General features: G+C 51.2%; 1 protein-coding gene across 7 annotated transcripts in view, besides 1 other annotated feature; it reads left to right on the top strand.

Annotated features, from left to right (window-relative positions):
- UNC13A (unc-13 homolog A) overlaps positions 1 to 17,228 on the top strand; it is an 87,019-nt gene that overhangs the window by 16,106 nt on the left and 53,685 nt on the right. For all 7 annotated transcript variants that reach the window (XM_011527810.3, NM_001387022.1, NM_001387023.1 and 4 more), the window contains 7 exons: positions 2,573 to 2,696; positions 4,059 to 4,132; positions 5,545 to 5,599; positions 8,682 to 8,717; positions 13,980 to 14,187; positions 15,851 to 16,366; positions 16,867 to 16,975. In XM_011527810.3, coding sequence (XP_011526112.1) covers positions 2,573 to 2,696; positions 4,059 to 4,132; positions 5,545 to 5,599; positions 8,682 to 8,717; positions 13,980 to 14,187; positions 15,851 to 16,366; positions 16,867 to 16,975 — 1,122 coding nt within the window. The remainder of the gene's footprint in view (positions 1 to 2,572; positions 2,697 to 4,058; positions 4,133 to 5,544; positions 5,600 to 8,681; positions 8,718 to 13,979; positions 14,188 to 15,850; positions 16,367 to 16,866; positions 16,976 to 17,228) is intronic.
- Positions 254 to 313: an enhancer, noted in NCBI's record as "active region_14280". NCBI's record gives its function as "activates an Ori minimal core promoter by ATAC-STARR-seq in GM12878 lymphoblastoid cells {active_cell/tissue: GM12878}" and the evidence as "EXISTENCE:reporter gene assay evidence [ECO:0000049][PMID:35858748]".

Raw genomic sequence — 17,228 nt, 5'->3', positions numbered from 1 at the left:
CACGAACCTTCCAAAGTCACTAGAGCCTATACACCTTCCATCTTGCTCTGCCTCTCTCTCCATGTGGCTTCCACCTTGTGGCCCCAAATGGCTGCTTTAGGCTCACCATTGCATCTTCATTCCAACCACCGAAAGGTGCTGGTGGTGGGGGAGGGGGGTGGTTCATGCACATCTCATTGGCCAGAACTTAGACATGTGGCCAACACCTTGCTGCAAGGGATTCTGGGAAATGTAGTCCTAGGCTGGAAAATGTAGTCCTGGGCTGTGCTTCCCTAGGCACAGCTAAAAATGTATTACCTTGGAAGGAGAAAAGGGATAATATAGGCAATTAGCATTTTGTGTCCCAGATGGGCAGCAGCAGGAAGCTTACACCAACTCATAAGAAGGTGCTAGGTAACAACCCTGGCCCCTCAGCCTGTGCATCATTGTCAGCAGGTAGTAGTGATGTCTATTTTTTATTTAATTATTTATTTTTGAGACAGGGTCTCACTCTGTTGCCCAGGCTGGAGTGCATTGGCATGATCATGGCCCACTGCAGCCTCGACTTCCCAGGCTCAAGTGATCCTCCCACCTCAGCCTCCTGAGTAGCTGGGACTGCAGGTGCATGCCACCAGGCCCCCCTTATTTTTTTTGTATTTTTAATAGAGACAGGGTTTTGCCATGTTGCCCAGGCTGGTTTCGAACTCCTGGGCTCAAGCAATCCACCCACCTCAGCCTCCCAAAGTGCTGGTATTACAGGTGCGAGCCACCATGCCAGGCCGTGGTCATGTCTATTCATCTGTCCCCACAGCCCAATCCCTGGCCTCCTAACCTCAAGTCTCAACCTCTCCATGCTGACCCCAGGAAGGCCTTATTAGCTGGAGCTCTGATCTGTCCTCCCCTGTCCATCTGCCTTGGGAGGCCCTTCAGATGGCACCTGCCCACTAGCCTCATCTCCCCCCACACTCTAACCTCTACCCCTCCCAGATTCCACCCTCTGAACCTTTGCATAGTGTGTTCCCTGAGCTTCAAGTGTCCTCCTTTCCATCACCTTCTAAATTCCCATGTGCCCACCTCCAGGAAGCCCTCTCTGACTTCTCTCTAGATCCTTTAGCCCTCCTTCCTCCCTCTGGGCTATGACCTCATGGGGCTGGGGGTGCCTGTGTCCAGCCCTGTTTCCAAGGGCTATGGGCTCTCAGGAGCCAGGGTGATGATGGCTGGGCCTCTTGGGGACCCTGGCATCACCCAATATGAACCAGGCATAGAGGAGGGACTGGGGACTGTTTTTTGTTTGTTCGTTTTTGTCATTTTATTTTATTTTATTTTATTTTATTTTATTTTATTTTATTTTATTTTATTTTACTGTGAGATGGAGTCTCACTCTGTCACCCAGGCTGGAGTGCAATGGCACAATCTTGGCTCACTGCAACCTCTGCCTCCCTGGCTTAAGTGATTCTCCTGCCTCAACCTCCTGAGTAGCTGGGATTACAGGGGCCTGCCACCACACCCAACTAATTTTTGCATTTTTAGTAGAGATGGGGTTTCGCCATGTTGGCCAGGCTGGTCTTGAACTCCTGACCTCAAGTGATCCGCCCACCTTGGCCTCGCAAAGTGCTGGGATTACAGGTGTGAGTCACCGCACCTGGCCAGTGAGTGTTTGTTTTTGAATGAATGAATGCAGAGGGACGAAATGGTTGCAACAATCTAGGTAAGCGAGTCTAAAAGGAAGCCTTGGCTGGGCATGGTGGCTCACACCTGTAATCCCAGCACTTTGGGAGGCTGAGGCAGGTGGATTGCCTGAGCTCAGCAGACCAGCCTGGGCAACATGGTGAAACCCCGTCTCTACTCAAAAATACAAAAAATTAGCCAGGAGTGCTGGCACGTACCTGTAATCCCAGCAGCTCAGGAGGCTGAGTTAGGAGAATCACTTGAGCCTGGGAAGCGGAGGTTGCAGTGAGCTGAGATCACGCCACTGCACTCCAGCCTGGGTGATAGAGAGACTCTGTCTCAAAAAAATTAAATTAGGCCGGGCATGGTGGCTCATGCCTGTAATCCCAGCACTTTGGGAGGCCGAGATGGGTGGATCACGAGGTCAGGAGATTGAGACCATCCTGGCTAACACGGTGAAACCCCGTCTCTACTAAATATACAAAAAATCAGCCAGGCGTGGTGGCGGGTGCCTGTAGTCCCAGCTACTCGGGAAGCTGAGGCAGGAGAATGGCGTGAACCCAGGAGGCAGAGCTTGCAGTGAGCCGAGATCGCGCCACTGCACTCCAGCCTGGGCGACAGAGCGAGACTCTGTCTCAAAAAAAAAAAAAAAAGAAAAGAAAAGAAAAAAGAGAGAGAAAGGAAGGAAGGAAAAGAAAGGAATAAAGGAAGGAAGGGAGGAAGGGAAAGAAAGAAAGGAAGGAAGCAGGGAGGGAGGGAGGGAAGGAAGGAAGGGAAGGAAGGAAGGACGGAAGGAAAGATAGAGAGGGGACATGACTTTGGTTTTGGGGTAGGGGTGAGGGGGATGTCTCATGCGAGAGTAGGGGCCCTGGGGACTAGTGACCAGCAGATTCCTGACCCACACACCTCCTCCCCCAACCCCCAGGAGGGCCCTGGAGAGTGGCTGACGCTGGACTCCCAGGTCATCATGGCAGACAGTGAGATCTGTGGCACCAAGGACCCCACCTTCCACCGCATCCTCCTGGACACGCGCTTTGAGCTACCCTTAGGTGAGTACAGGGGCCCGGGACCTTCACCCAGCCCCAGCCCCAGTTGTGGACTCACTCAGCTATTCCAGGAGAGTGAACAGGCCTGGGTAGGTCTAGCTGACCCTTCAGGCTGAGAATGAGGGTCCTTCGCCCCGGAGGAGAGAGAGTTTCTTGGGTTGCAGAGAACAGGGATGTGAACCTGCTGGGTGCGGGCCATGACCTGGGCCCCGTAGCTTCCCAGTGAGCTGCAAGTGCTTCACGACCGAGGGCGTTCAGGGTTGAGCTATCCTGGCTGTTCCTTGGTGATGCCTGAGACTGCAACAGTGAACTGGGGATAGGAGGAGAGACAGACAGAGACAGAGAGACAAAGAGAGACAGAGAGAGACATGTAGACAGAGGCTGAGAACAGATAGTCCCCTCTTCCTTTCCTGGAAGCACCTTGAGTCTCTCCACCTCATTCTTCTAAGAACCCATGGCTGGCCAGGCATAGCTTCTCATGTCTGTAATCCCAGCACTTTGGGAGGCCAAGGGGGGAGGATCATTTGAGGCCAGGAGTTTGAGACCAGCCTGGGCCATCTAGTGAGATCCCATCTCTATGAAAAAGTTAAAAATTCACCAGGCATGGTGCTGGGTTTCTGTAGTCCCAACTATTTGGGAGGCTGAGGCAAGAGGATGGCTCAAGCCCAGGAGTTTGAGGCTTCAGTGAGTTGTGATTGTGCCACTGCACTCCAGCCTGGGTGACAGAGCGAGACCCTGTCTCTAAAAAAATAAAAATAAAAACAATGGGCTGGGCGTGGTGGCTCATGCCTATAATCCCAGCACTTTGAGAGGCCGAGGCAGATGGATCACCTGATGTCAGGAGTTTGAGAGCAGCCTGGCCAACATGGAGAAACCCTGTCTCTACTCAAAATACAAAAAAATTAACTGGGCATGGTGGTGCACACCTGTAATCCCAGCTACTCGGGAGGCTGAGGCAGGAGAATCGCTTGAACCCAGGAGGTGGAGGTTGCAGTGAACTGAGATTGTACCACTTCACTCCAGCCTGGGCAACAGAGTGAGACTCCGTCTCAAAAAACAATTTAAAAATTAAAAAATTAAATAAAAACAATGGCTTCCCCACCCTCGTAAAGGCTAGGAACCATCTCCTGTCATCCTCCAACTATTCTCCATTCAGCTCTGGGAAGAGGGGCGTCAGAGGCACCACGGTACCTCCCCTTCATCTCCATCCACCCTCCTGAGACCGCAGACCAACCCACCCCTACTTCTGAGGCTTTGCCAAAGACCCCAGAAGCCAGGGCCCGGGTGGAGCTCAGTAGGCCTGGAGGATGGAGGCTGAGCGGCAGGGAGGGTCTTCCAGGCTCACAGACAGGGCTCTGCTTGCAGACATTCCTGAAGAGGAGGCTCGCTACTGGGCCAAGAAGCTGGAGCAGCTCAATGCTATGCGGGACCAGGATGAAGTGAGTGTTGGGGTGGGAGGGGACTGTTTCTTCCTTGTTTCTGTCTCTGTCTCCCCATGATTTTCACTTACAGATGCTGTTTCTCTCTAAGCTTGTCTTTCCCTGCATCTCTGTTTCTAACTCTTTGTAACCTGACTGCATCCATGACCCATGTGGTCCAGTCTCTAGACAATGATGGGGTCAAGAAACACACAGAGGCCAGGCGCAGTGGCTCACGCCTGTAATCCCAGCACTTTGAGAGGCGAAGGTGGGCAGATCACCTGAGGTCAGGAGTTCAAGACCAGCCTGGTCAACACAGTGAAACCCCGTCTCTACTAAAAAAAAAAAAAAAAAAAAAAAATTAGCCAGGCTTAGTGGCTCACACCTGTAATCCCAGCAATTTGGGAGGCTGTGGCGGGCAGATTATTTGAGGCCAGGAGTTCGAGACCAGCCTGGCCAACACGGTGAAACCCCGTCTCTACTAAAAGTACAAAAAATTAGCTAGGCATGGTGGCGGGCGCCTGTCATTCCAGCTCCTTGGGAGGCTGAGGTGGGAGAATCACTTGAATCTGGGAGGCAGAAGTTGCAGTGAGCCGAGATCACGCTGCTGCACTCCAGCCTGGGCAACAGAGCAAGGCTCTGTCTCAAAATAATAATATTGATAATAATAATAAAATAAAAAATTTTACTTTTCATTTGGCGGATACATGTGCAGGTTTGTTACACGAATATATTGCATGATGCTAAGGTCTGGAATTCCATGGCATTACTCAAATTGTAAACACAGTACCTAACGGGTAGTTTTTTCACTCTTGTCCTGCTCCCTCCTTCCTCCCTTCTGGAGTCCCCAATGTCTACTGTTCCCATCTTTTTTTTTTTTTCTTTTTTGAGACGGAGTCTCGCTGTGTCACCAGGCTGGAGTGCAGTGGCACGATCTTGGCTCACTGCAACCTCCACCTCCCGGGTTCAAGTGATTCTCCTGCCTCGGCCTCCCGGGTAACTGGGACTACAGGCATGCGCCACCATACCTGGCTAATTTTTGTATTTTTAGTAGAGACGGGGTTTCACCGTTTAGCTAGGATGGTCTCGATCTCTTGACCTCGTGATCTGCCCGCTTCGGCCTCCCAAAGTGCTGGGATTACAGGTGTGAGTCACTGCACCTGGCCCCTAGTCTTTTTTCTATCTCTGTTTCTTACTTTTTCTGTCTCTGTCTCTGTCTCTGTCTTTCTCTCTCTCTCTCTCTCTCTCTCTCTCTCGTGTGTGTGTGTGTCTTTCTCTCCTTTTCTCTCTTACTCCCTGTATCCTTCTCATAGAGAGGGAGAGAATTTGGGAGGTAGAGGGAAGTCGGGATGGGACAGAACAGAGGACTATCCTGGTCCCCTGGCCTTTGGCCCCTCTGAGAGAAGCCCTTTCTCCTTCCTCCACCCCTTCAGTATTCGTTCCAAGATGAGCAAGACAAGCCTCTGCCTGTCCCCAGCAACCAGTGCTGTAAGTACCTCTTGATTCTTCCTTGGGTATCAGCTGAAATCCTCATCCCTCCCCTACCCCATGACTGTCCTGTCTAAAGGCTCCTCCAGTCCGGAGATACAAGTCCTGAGAGTGCAGTGTCCACTTACAGTGTATTAGAAATCAGCGTTCTGAGGCTGGGCATGGTGGCTCACCCCTGTAATCCCAGCACTTTGGGAAGCCGAGGTCAGGAGTTCGAGACCAGCCTGGCCAACAGGGCAAAACCCCATCTCTACTATAAATACAAAAAAAATGAACAGGCATGGTGGTGGGTGCCTGTAATCCCAGCTACTCAGAAGGCTGAGGCAGGAGAATTGCTTGAACCCAGGAGGCAGAATCTGCAGTGGGCCAAGATCATGCCACTGTACTCCAGCCTGGGTGACAGAGCAAGACTCTGACTCAAAAAAAGAAGGAAGGAAAGAAAGAGAAAGAAAGAGAGAAAGAGAGAGAGAGAAAGAAAGAAAGGAAGGAAGGAGAGGAGAGGAAAGAAAGAAAGAAAAAGAAAGAAAAGAAAAGAGAAAAGAAAAGAAAGGAAGGGAAGGAAAGAAAGGAAAGGAAGGAAAGGAAAGAGAAGAGTTCTGAGACTTGGGCTTGATGAAAGACAAGAAGGAAGAAAGGAAGGAAGGAAGGAGAGTTCTGAGACTTGGGCTTGATTCCCACCTTGCTATGTGGTCATGGGCAGGCCAGTGTCCCTCTTCGATATTTAGGGGCCCTCTCTTTGAAATAGCGCATCTGACAGCCCCCTCACTCTGAGGGCTGTTGGAAGGATCTGGGACATCTAGAGACATGAAAAACACTTCGTAGATGCTTCACTTCCATTCATCAGATCCTGGATGAGGGCGTATAACTCATTCCACAAACTATTCATGGGGCCAGCACAAACCCCGAGCAGCCCACGTCAGATGGTGCAGACAGACACAGGCAGAAGATCCTGCCAGCACATGTACAATGGGCGCACGTACAACAGACGAAGGCTGTTTCACTAACCCATTTTCTTAGATGGAGAAACTGAGGCCCAAGAGGAGATGTGATTTACCCAAGGCCACACACCCGGCAACTGGCAGAGCCAGGATTTGAACCCAGGTCTGAGGGACTCCAACTTTGCTTCCCTTTCCACTGCACCTTGTCTGTTAATGATGATGATGATCACGTTCCTCTTCCTATTTCCATCAAGGCTGCAGTTGTCAAGATTTTTTATCTTCCTGGGCCTTGTGGACACTCAGATGCATCCAGACCAGGTCTTTTCATGGATGGAGGAGCTGTCTCCCTCCTTAAAATGACTTCCCATTGCTCTGTGGTGGAGGGGAAGTAGCAAATCATATAGCCTCAGGGCAGAGCTCCCACCTGCTGACACCAAAACCCCACTGCACTCTTTAGCCTCCTTCTCCTTTCCCATTTACTTTCTTTTCTTCTTCTCTTTTTTTTTTTCTTGGAGATAGAGTCTCCCTCTGTCACCCAGACTGGACTGCAATAGTACTATCTTGGCTCACTGCAGCCTCTGCCTCCCGGATTTGAGTGATTCTTGTGCCTCAGCCTCTTGAGCAGTGGGGATTACAGGCACATGCCACCACGCCCAGCTAATTTTTGTATTTTTAGTAGAGATGGGGTTTTGCCATGTTGGCCAGGCTGGTCTCAAATTTTTTACCTCATGTGATCTGCCCACCTCAGCTTCCCAAAGTGCTGGGATTACAGGTGTGAGCCACCATGCCTGGCACCTTTTCCATTTGCTTTTCCATCTTCCTTTTCTCCCCTCTCACAGCTCTCCCTGTATCTGTGTCTCCCTCACCATGTGTCCAGGAGGGTGGTAATGGAACCGGGGTTGAGGAGGGCTTGGGATACTCCAGCTGGGGTACCCTGTTTCCACACTAACTTGGGGAGTGATATTGAGAAAGTTCCTTGGCTTCCCTGGCCAGGGAGGGGTCATCACTGCCTGGAAGGAATTACAAACCCCCGCTTGGTGAATGGGGTCATTGAGAGGTTGCAATGGGGGCGGGGCCAGGCAGAGTGGAGGCAGGAAGGCAATGGCAGAGAGCCCCTGGGCAGATGGACTAGAGCTAGGGGCAGGTTCATTTTGGGAAGTGGAGACCACCACTCAGTATTTACCCACAAGTCCTCCCTTGGAGTATTTTGTCACCCTATTTCTCAGAGAAAGCAGCCAATGGTCAGAGGAGCCAGGATTCTGGTCCAGGACATTTTTCTGAAGTGCCAGGTACTGCACGTGATAGGCAAAGGTGGTTCTCGCCCTGGCCCTGATGCGCAGAGGCTCTGTGACTTTGGGCTGCTCACTCCATCCCTCTGAGCCCCATAGTTTCACCCATAAAATGAGTAGAATGATAAAATCCACCCAACAGGGGTGTTTCAAACCTTAGGGTTTCCAATTTAGTGTGTCTTTCCTTATCCAAGAGCTGGGAGAGGAAAAGGGTGGAGACTGGGAGACTGCTAACCCTAGACATCATAGTCAGAAAACCCTGGGCCCAAATACCCACTTTGTTACTTCCTGACTGAGCCTTTCCTCTCATTGAAAACTGAGCCAGGCACAGTGGCTCATGCCTGTAAATCCCAGCTACTCGGCCTCACTTGAGACCACGTGTTTGAGACCAGCCTGACCAACATAGCAAGATCCATCTCCACACAAAAAAACAAAAAGAAAACCACCAAGAACCAAAACATTAGCTGAACATGGTGGTGTGTGCCTGTAATCTCAGTTACTCAGGAGGCTGAGGTGGGAGGATCACTTGAGCTTGGAAATTGGAGGCTGCAGTAAGCCGTGATTGCACCACTCTACTCCAGGCTGGATGACAGAGTGAGACCGTGTTTCAAAAAAAAAATTAAAGAAAAGAAAAAAATAAACAAACAGGGATATCCCACCTTCCTCCCAAGGTGGAGAGCAGAGACACAGCAAGTGTCAGCAATGAAGGTGATACTCAGGGAAGGTACTCAGGACAAGAGGGACTTTTGGGGTGGGGGGAGCAGTTGGGGAGAGTGAGGACAGCAGGGGAGCCCCCTTCCTACACCCACCCCTCTGTCTGCTCCCTTTTATTATTTCTGCCCCTTCTCTTTGTAGGCAACTGGAATTATTTTGGCTGGGGTGAGCAGCACAGTAAGTACTCAGCCTGATTGATGTTCTGGGAGTTACATGGGAAGGTGGGCACCTTGGTGATCCCAAGGCCCCTCCCCACTACCACACAGGGAAGCAAGGAGCCTGTGACGAGCACGTGGGGGCCAGAGGGCTCAGCAAGACCCCTTTCAAGCTTTCCTGTACCCTGTTCATTAGTGCCTGTCTTGGGAGGCCTGCCATCTGCTGGGGAGTGGGCACCGTCATTGGGGTGGGGTGGGGGGGGTTAGCCTGGAGGAGTGGACATTTAGACCAACAACCTGCTTGTCTCCAGCTGGGCACTGTGACCCCCGCACCCCACTCCGCCGTATAACCTCACCTCCTCTCCTGTAGCCCCTGCCTTTTGGTCTTCCTATCTTCCTTCTCCACTTGGAAATGTGTCCAGTGTCACTCAGAGGGTAGTGGGTGGGCGGGGTCTCTAACAGAACGGCAGGCCAGGGACCTCAGGGAGATGCACACAGGGACCTCAGCACCCCCCAGGTCCACCCACACTCACACCTCACCTTCCACCTTCATTTGCTCTCCCAGGGAATAAGGCAAGCCACCCCCTCCCTAAATTAAATGTCCATTTTCCTTTTCCTTTTTTTTTTTTTTTTTGAGACGGAGTCTCACTCTATCACCCAGGCTGGAGGGCAGTGGCACGATCTCAGCTCACCGCAAGCTCTGCCTCCAGGGTTCACGCCATTCTCCTGCCTCAGCCTCCCGAGTAGCTGGGACTAAAGGCGTCCGCCAACACGCCCGGCTAATTTTTTGTATTTTTAGTAGAGACGGGGTTTCACCGTGTTAGCCAGGAGGGTCTCGATCTCCTGACCTCGTGATCCACCTGCCTTGGCCTCCCAAAGTGCTGGGATTACAGGCATGAGCCATGGCACCTGGCCCTAATTAAATGTCCGTTTTTCTACCTAACAGCGGTTCCCAACCTTTTTGACACAAGGGACCAGTTTCATGGAAGACAATTTTTTTATGGACTGGGGTTGGGGGATGGTTTCTGGATGATTCAAGTTCACTGCATTTGTTGTGCACTTTATTTTTATTATTATTATTATTACATTATAGTATGTAATGAAATAATGATACAACTCATCATCATGTAGAAGCAGTGGGAGCCCTGAACTTGTTTTCCTGCAATTAGACAGTCCCATCTTAGGGTGATGGGGGACAGTGACAGATCATCAGGCATTAGATTCTCATAAGGAGCACACAACCTAGATCCCGCACATGCACAGTTCACAGTAGGGTTCACGCTCCCGTGAGAATCTTTTTTTTTTTTTGAAACAGAGTCTTGCTCTGTTGCCCAGGCTGGATGGAGTACAGTGGCGCAATCTCGCCTCACTGCAACCTCTGCCTCCGAGTTCAAGTGATTCTCGTACCTGAGCCTCCCAAGTAGCTGGGATTACAGGCGCGTGCCACCATGCCCAGCTAATTTTTTGTATTTTTAGTAGAGATGGGGTTTCACCATGTTGGCCAGGCTGGTTGTGAACTCCTGACTTCAGGTGATCCACCTGCCTTGGCCTCCCAAAGGGCTGGGATTACAAGTTTGAGCCACTGCGCCCGGCCTTCTATGAGAATCTAATGCTGCCGCTGATCTGACAGGAGGTGGAACTCAGGCGGTAATGTGAGTGATGGGGAGCAACTGTAAATACAGATGAAACTTCACTCGCTCACCCAACCGCTGCCCACCTCCTGCTGTGCGCCCCAGCTCCTAACAGGCCACAGACCAGATCCATGCCCTAAAGAGTTGCTCCCTTTCTCCCATACCCCGCCTCTTCTAGAGAAATCCAGTCCTCTATTCTTTCTTTCCTTCTTTCTTTTTTCTTTTTTTTGAGATGGAGTCTTGCTCTGTCACCCAGACTGGAGTATAGTGGTGCGATCACTGCTCACTGCAACCTCCACCTCCCGGGTTCAAGCAGTTCTCTTGCCTCAGCCTCCCGAGTAGTTGGGATTACAGGTGCACGCCACTATGCCTGGTTAATTTTTGTATTTTTAGTAGAGATGGGGTTTCACCATGTTGGCCAGGCTGGTCTTGAACTCCTGACCTCAAGCAATCCTCCCGCCTTGGCCTCCCAAAGTGCTGGGATTATAGGTGTGAGCTACCATGCCTGGCCAGTCCTCTATTTTGAGGATAAATCTGCCTCCTTCTCTCTCCTTCAACTGGGGAGTCCTTCACTCCTTCCTCATATCCTGGTGGACAAACCTAACTCCAGGACCAGTGAAACTGTTGACAAACACTTTGGTCCACCACAATTTATCAAAAACAAGTTGGTTAAAAATCAACTTAGGCCAGCCACACTGGCTCACACCTGTAATTCCAACACTTTGGGAGGCTGAGGCGGGAGGGACGCTTGAGCTCCAAAGTCTGAAATCAGCCTGGGCAACAGAGCAAGACTCCATCTCTACAAAAAAAAAAAAAAAGGGCCGGGTGTGGTGGCACGCCCCTGTAGTCCCAGCTATTTGGGAGGCTGAGGTGGGAGGGTTGTTTGAGCCCAGGAGGTTGGGACTGCAGTGAGCCATGATTGTGCTACTAGACTTTAGCCTAGGCAACAGTGTGAGACCCTGTCTCTAAAAAATAAATAGATTAAAATAAATAAATAAAATCAATTTTGCCAAAATGAATGCTTGGCAGACAGGGCAAGCTCGATAACAACCAACTTGCCACAAACGAACAGTACGGTCAAAAGCAAAGATAGACCAGGCGTGGCAGCTCACACCATAATCCCAGCACTTTGGGAGGCCGAGGTAGGCAGATCACTTGAGGTCAGGAGTTCGAGACCAGCCTGGCCAACGTGACGAAACCCCATCTCTACTAAAAATACAAAAATTAGCCAGGCATGGTGGTGCATGCCTTTAATCCCAGCTACTCGGGAGGCTGAGGCAGGAGAATCATTTGAACCTGGGAGGTGGAGGCTGCAGTGAGCCGAGATCGTACCATTGCACTCCAGCCTGGGTGACAGAGCGAGACTCTGTCTCAAAAAAAAAAAAAACCCAAAAACCAACAAACAAACAAAACAAAACACCAATGCAGCTAAAGCTGATAGATAATTGGGTCAAAAAGGAAAGACAATTGAACCGAAAACAGACCGTTGGGTTAAAACAAAAGTGGTTGAAAATAGCCAGAAGCAGGCAATTTAGTCAAGAGCTACTTAGTAGAAAGCAGAGCCTGGGCAAAAGCAAAAAGAATCCAACTCAAAGTAATTTACCCTTCATAAGCAGATAATTTGTCAGGAAAAAAAAAAACTGGGTAAACATGTGCACAGCCTCATGCAATTTGGCTGGAAACATCTCAGCCCGGTCAAGGACAATTGGATAGAAAGAATGCTGGCCGGCCGAGGTGGCTCACGGCTAATCCCAGCACTGTGGGAAGCTGAGGCGGGAGGATCGCTTGAGCCCAGGAGTTCAAGATCAGCCTGGGCAATATAGGGAGATCCCATCTCTACAAAATAATAAATAAATAAAATTAGCTGGGTGTGGTGGTGTGTGCCTGTGGTCCCAGCTACTGTGGAGGCTGAGATGCGAGGATCTCTTGAGCCCAGGAGGTCGAGGTTTCAGTGAGTTTTGATCGCGCCACTGCGCTCCAGCCCAAGTGAGAGAGACCCTGTCTAAATGAATGGATGAATACAGCAAAAGTCTGAAGGTTTCACTCATTGCTCTGAGATTTTGGGGTCTGGGGGTTTTTTCATTTTTTTACATCCTCTTCCCCTTACCCGTACTTCTCATGTTTTCTTCATGGACTACTTTTTCTTTTTTTCTGGATACAGGGTCTCATTCTGACACCCAGACTGCAGTGCAGAGGCGTAATCATAGCTCACTGCTACCTCGACCTCCTGGGCTCCAGCAATGCTCCTGCCATACCCTCCCGAATAGCTGGGACTACAGGCGCCCACCACCACGCCCAGCTAATTTTTAAATTTTTTTAAAGAGATGGGGCCTTACTATGTTGCCCAGGCTGATCTTGAACTCCTGGGCTCAAGTGATCCTCCTGCCTTGGCCTCCCAAAGTGCTGGGATTACAGGCATGAGCCACTTTGCCTGGCCCATGGACTAGGTTTTACTTTACTTTTATTTTATTTTATTTTTTGGAGACAGGGTCTTGTGTCACCCAGCCCCTGGAGTGCAGAGGTGTGATCTTGGCTCACAGCAATCTCCACCTCCTGGGTTCCAGAGATTCTCCTGCCTCAGCCTCCCAAGGAGCTGGGATTACAGGCACATGCCACCACACCTGGCTAATTTTTGTATTTTTAGTAGAGACAGGGTCTTGGTATGTTGCCCAGGCTGGTCTTGAACTCCTGGCCTCAAGTAATCTGCCCGCCTCCGCCTCCCAAAGTGCTGGGATTACAGGTGTGAGCCACTGTGCCCGGCCTTTGCTTTACTTTTAAAATAAAGATAACTTTATCATTCTTTTTAGTTAAAAAATTAAAAAGATTGCATTATTGAAATCTTTTTTTTCAGAAGGTACAGAAAAGAATAAAGAAGAAAATGTACAATCCCCAATTATGCCACCACCCAGACATGTTGCTTTTAGAATTGGAATTTTTTTTTTTAGGATTTAGAAAACAAACTGTTCTTTTTTCTAAGGAAACCAAACTAAACCAAAATATCTTTTAGTTCTTATTAAACATGAAGTTTGGCAACTCTACCACATTCCATTTTAGCAATAGATTCCAAGTGTGTGGTGGCTTTGCCAAGCTAAGAATCTAATCCTTTTTGAAAAAGACAGAACCATGTCTCAGCATCTTCTTGGTTCTTGCATATTTGTTAAGTTCAGGTCTGGGGTCGTCACCCTCAGATATCAGGAAATCTCTAAGGGTTAAAGAGCGTTCCGTCCACTTTGAACTCCTGATCTTCTTCCAACTTCCCCCTGACTGTCTGTGTGACTCCTGTTATGGGAAACTAACTGCTCAGTGGAAAAAAATCCCATGTCATTTTCAGAGATCCTGACCTTCAGCAAAGTTGTTCTTCACATTTGAGCTGAAGGATGCCCTCTACTCTGTCCCTGTTTTCTTCACATTGTAGGTCCTACCCTAGCCCCTAGACTTTAGGTCCAATTTGACCCACATAAAGCAAAGCAGGGTTTTCACCTCCCTTGTTCTGAAGCCTATATCTCTATTAACATGACCCACAATTCTTTATCCATACTAGTAAAAAATTCTCTTCTTCGGTAGCGGCACCGTAAGTCTGGGAAATTGTATTGGCTCCCATCATGTGCACTCTCTCTTCCTCACCCTCTTCCCATACCGCCTCTCTCTTCCAGACGATGACCCCGACAGTGCAGTGGATGATCGTGACAGTGACTACCGCAGTGAAACGAGCAACAGCATCCCGCCGCCCTATTATACTACGTCACAACCCAACGCCTCAGTCCACCAATATTCTGTTCGCCCACCACCCCTGGGCTCCCGGGAGTCCTACAGTGACTCCATGCACAGTTACGAGGAGTTCTCTGAGCCACAAGCCCTCAGGTAGGTGCTGCGGAGTGCAGCATGCATGTGGGTCCTGCTGTGTCTCCTGGAGTGGAGAGAGGGGTACGGGGCTGGACAGAGCTGGAGGTGGAGTTCCAGAAGGGCAGAATTCACCCATCCAGGAGGGCAGAATTCACATTTTCTTGTGGGAATTAACCATTTTTTTCTTTTTTTTTTTCTTTTCTTTTTTTTTTAGACAGAGTCTTGCTCTGTCACCCAGGCTGGAGTGCAGTGGCACCATTTCGGCTCACTGCAACCTCCACCACCCAGACTCAAGCGATTCTCCTGCCTCAGCCTCCCCAGTAGCTGGGACTACAGGCACAGGCCGCCACACCAAGCTAATTTATTTTTATTTTTTGTGGAGATGGGGGTCTTGCTCCATTGCCTGGGCTAGTCTTGAACCCCTTTTTATTCCTATAGCATCCTCGAGGCTGGCCAGGGAAGAGGGTCTCAGGCGCTAAGATTGGAGGAGGTATCTAATCGGGAAATGATAAGGTTCGTTGAATGACTAAGTGAATGGTTAGAAGAGGGCTGAGTGGTGGCCCCTATGTCCCCCTGCCTGTATTTAGACAGAGACAGATATTGCTGTTGACGTTGAGCACGATCCTGGGTTCACATAAGCAGCACATAACAGAGGGCCTGACCTGGCCAGACAGTGGGGGGCATTTGCACAAGTAAGTGATGTTTCAGTGGGTACCAGAGGGTGGGTAGGAGTTTGCTAGATAAAGCAGACAAGGAAGAGACCACGGCAAGTGCACAGGTTTATGGTGTTGGAGAGACAACGAGGTGGCCAGCGTGGCCGGAATGGAGGAGGCGGGGAGAAGTGGAGGGAGGTATGCAGGGGGAGTTTGGAGCGTATGGGCCACACAGGGCTAGCACAGATTTTATTCCAAGGCACTAGGGAGCCATGGTAGGATTTAGAGCAGGGGAGGGAGGTGATTGGATTTACAATTCCCTGTGGCTTCCAAGGGAAGCAGGAACTGTGGAGACAGCATCTGGTAGAGACAGCAGAGGCTGGCCTGGGTTGGGGCCCGGGGTACGGGGAAGTGGATGCATTTCCCATACTTTTTCCAGGTGGAGGACAGGAGACCTGCTGCGGGGCTGTGGTGATGGCGCTGACCCTGAGTTCCCAGCACAGTCAATTGCCTGTTCCCCACAGACCGCAAATGCCACAAAAGTGGGAATTTTTTTTTTTTTTTTTTTTTTTTTGAGACGGAATTTCGCTCTTGTTGCCCAGGCTGGAGTGCAATGGCATGATCCCAGCTCACTGCAACCTCCACCTCCCGGGTTCAAGTGATTCTTCTACCTCAGCCTCCCGAGTAGCTGGGATTACAGGCATACGCCACCATGCGCAGCTAATTTTTGTATTTTTGGTAGAGACAGGGTTTCACCATGTTGGCCAGGCTGGTCTTGAACTCCTGACCTCAGGTGATCTGCCCACCTCAGCCTCCCAAAGTGCTGGGATTACAGGCGTGAGCCACCGCACCTGGCCAAAAGCGGGGATTTTTGTCTTTTCTGATCATGGCTGTGTTTTCCAGCCCCTAGAGCAGGACCTGGCACATCGTAGGTGCTCAGTCGGTGATGAGTCAATGCCTGTGTGACTGGGGCTCAGGTGGGCAGTGACTCGGTACCCCAGTCCCTGAACCCTGTTCCATCCCCACAGCCCCACGGGTAGCAGCCGCTATGCCTCTTCCGGGGAGCTGAGCCAGGGAAGCTCTCAGCTGAGCGAGGACTTCGACCCTGACGAGCACAGCCTGCAGGGCTCCGACATGGAGGATGAGCGGGACCGGGACTCCTACCACTCCTGCCACAGCTCGGTCAGCTACCACAAAGACTCGCCTCGCTGGGACCAGGATGAGGAAGAGCTGGAGGAGGACCTGGAGGACTTCCTGGAGGAGGAGGAGCTGCCTGAAGATGAGGAGGAGCTGGAGGAGGAGGAGGAGGAGGTGCCTGACGATTTGGGCAGCTATGCCCAGCGTGAAGACGTAGCTGTGGCTGAGCCCAAAGACTTCAAACGCATCAGCCTCCCGCCAGCTGCCCCAGGGAAGGAGGACAAGGCCCCAGTGGCACCCACCGAGGCCCCCGACATGGCCAAGGTGGCCCCCAAGCCAGCCACGCCCGACAAGGTGCCTGCAGCTGAGCAGATCCCTGAGGCTGAGCCACCCAAGGACGAGGAGAGGTAACAGGACGGGGCCAAGGGGCCAGAGGGGCTGCCACAAGGTCACAGGGTCAGCAGGGCTATGATGGGGTCAGCGTGGACCTGGGAAGTTGCTGGGGCTGAAGTTGTCACAGGCTCTTGGGTTTCTTAAAGGGATCAGAGGTGACAGGGCAGAGTAGGGAGGTCAAAGAGGGTTCAAGGGGCCGTGAAGGAGACTTAGAGTTTGTGATCTTAGTGGTTGCTGGGGTCGGAGAGGTCAAGATCCTGGGCAAATGGGGGGCCAGAGGGGCTGGGCTGGTGAAAAGGAAGCCGAGGAACAGTGAAGTGTCACAGAAGCATTGGGTGTGTGGGAAGGGGTGAGGGGCACTGAGGTGGGCCAGGGGACTCACGTGGGTCCTAATGTCTCTGAGGGGTCAGAGATACCATGGGGAGCTATGCATCACTTGCACAGCTGGAGGGTCAAGGGAAGTTCAGGGGTCACGGAGAGCCAGCCCAGAGCCTCATAGCGTTCCCTGCCTCAGTTTCAGGCCGAGAGAGGATGAGGAAGGCCAGGAGGGGCAGGACTCCATGTCCAGGGCCAAGGCCAACTGGCTGCGTGCCTTCAACAAGGTGCGGATGCAGCTGCAGGAGGTGAGTGACACGCCCAGCCATGCCCCTGCCACACTTAGCCAGGCCACGCCCAATGGCAGGCCCACACATGTTTTGGCCACACCCACACCTATATTGGCCACGCCCAACACCCCACCCGTACCCAAGCCTAGCCTGGGCATGCCCAGTGCAGTGCCCACACTGTGCCCATGCCCCAGCCACTCGAGCCCTTCCCTGGCCCCACCCTCATTCAGCCTGGCCTCACCCAATGTCACCGATGCCCCACCCACTCTGA

Source organism: Homo sapiens, chromosome 19 (genome assembly GCF_000001405.40).
Source record: "Homo sapiens chromosome 19, GRCh38.p14 Primary Assembly".
NCBI classification, from domain to species: Eukaryota; Metazoa; Chordata; class Mammalia; order Primates; family Hominidae; genus Homo; species Homo sapiens.
The sequence above is the reverse complement of the archived record's forward strand: the minus strand, read 5'-3'. Positions and strand labels throughout refer to the sequence as shown.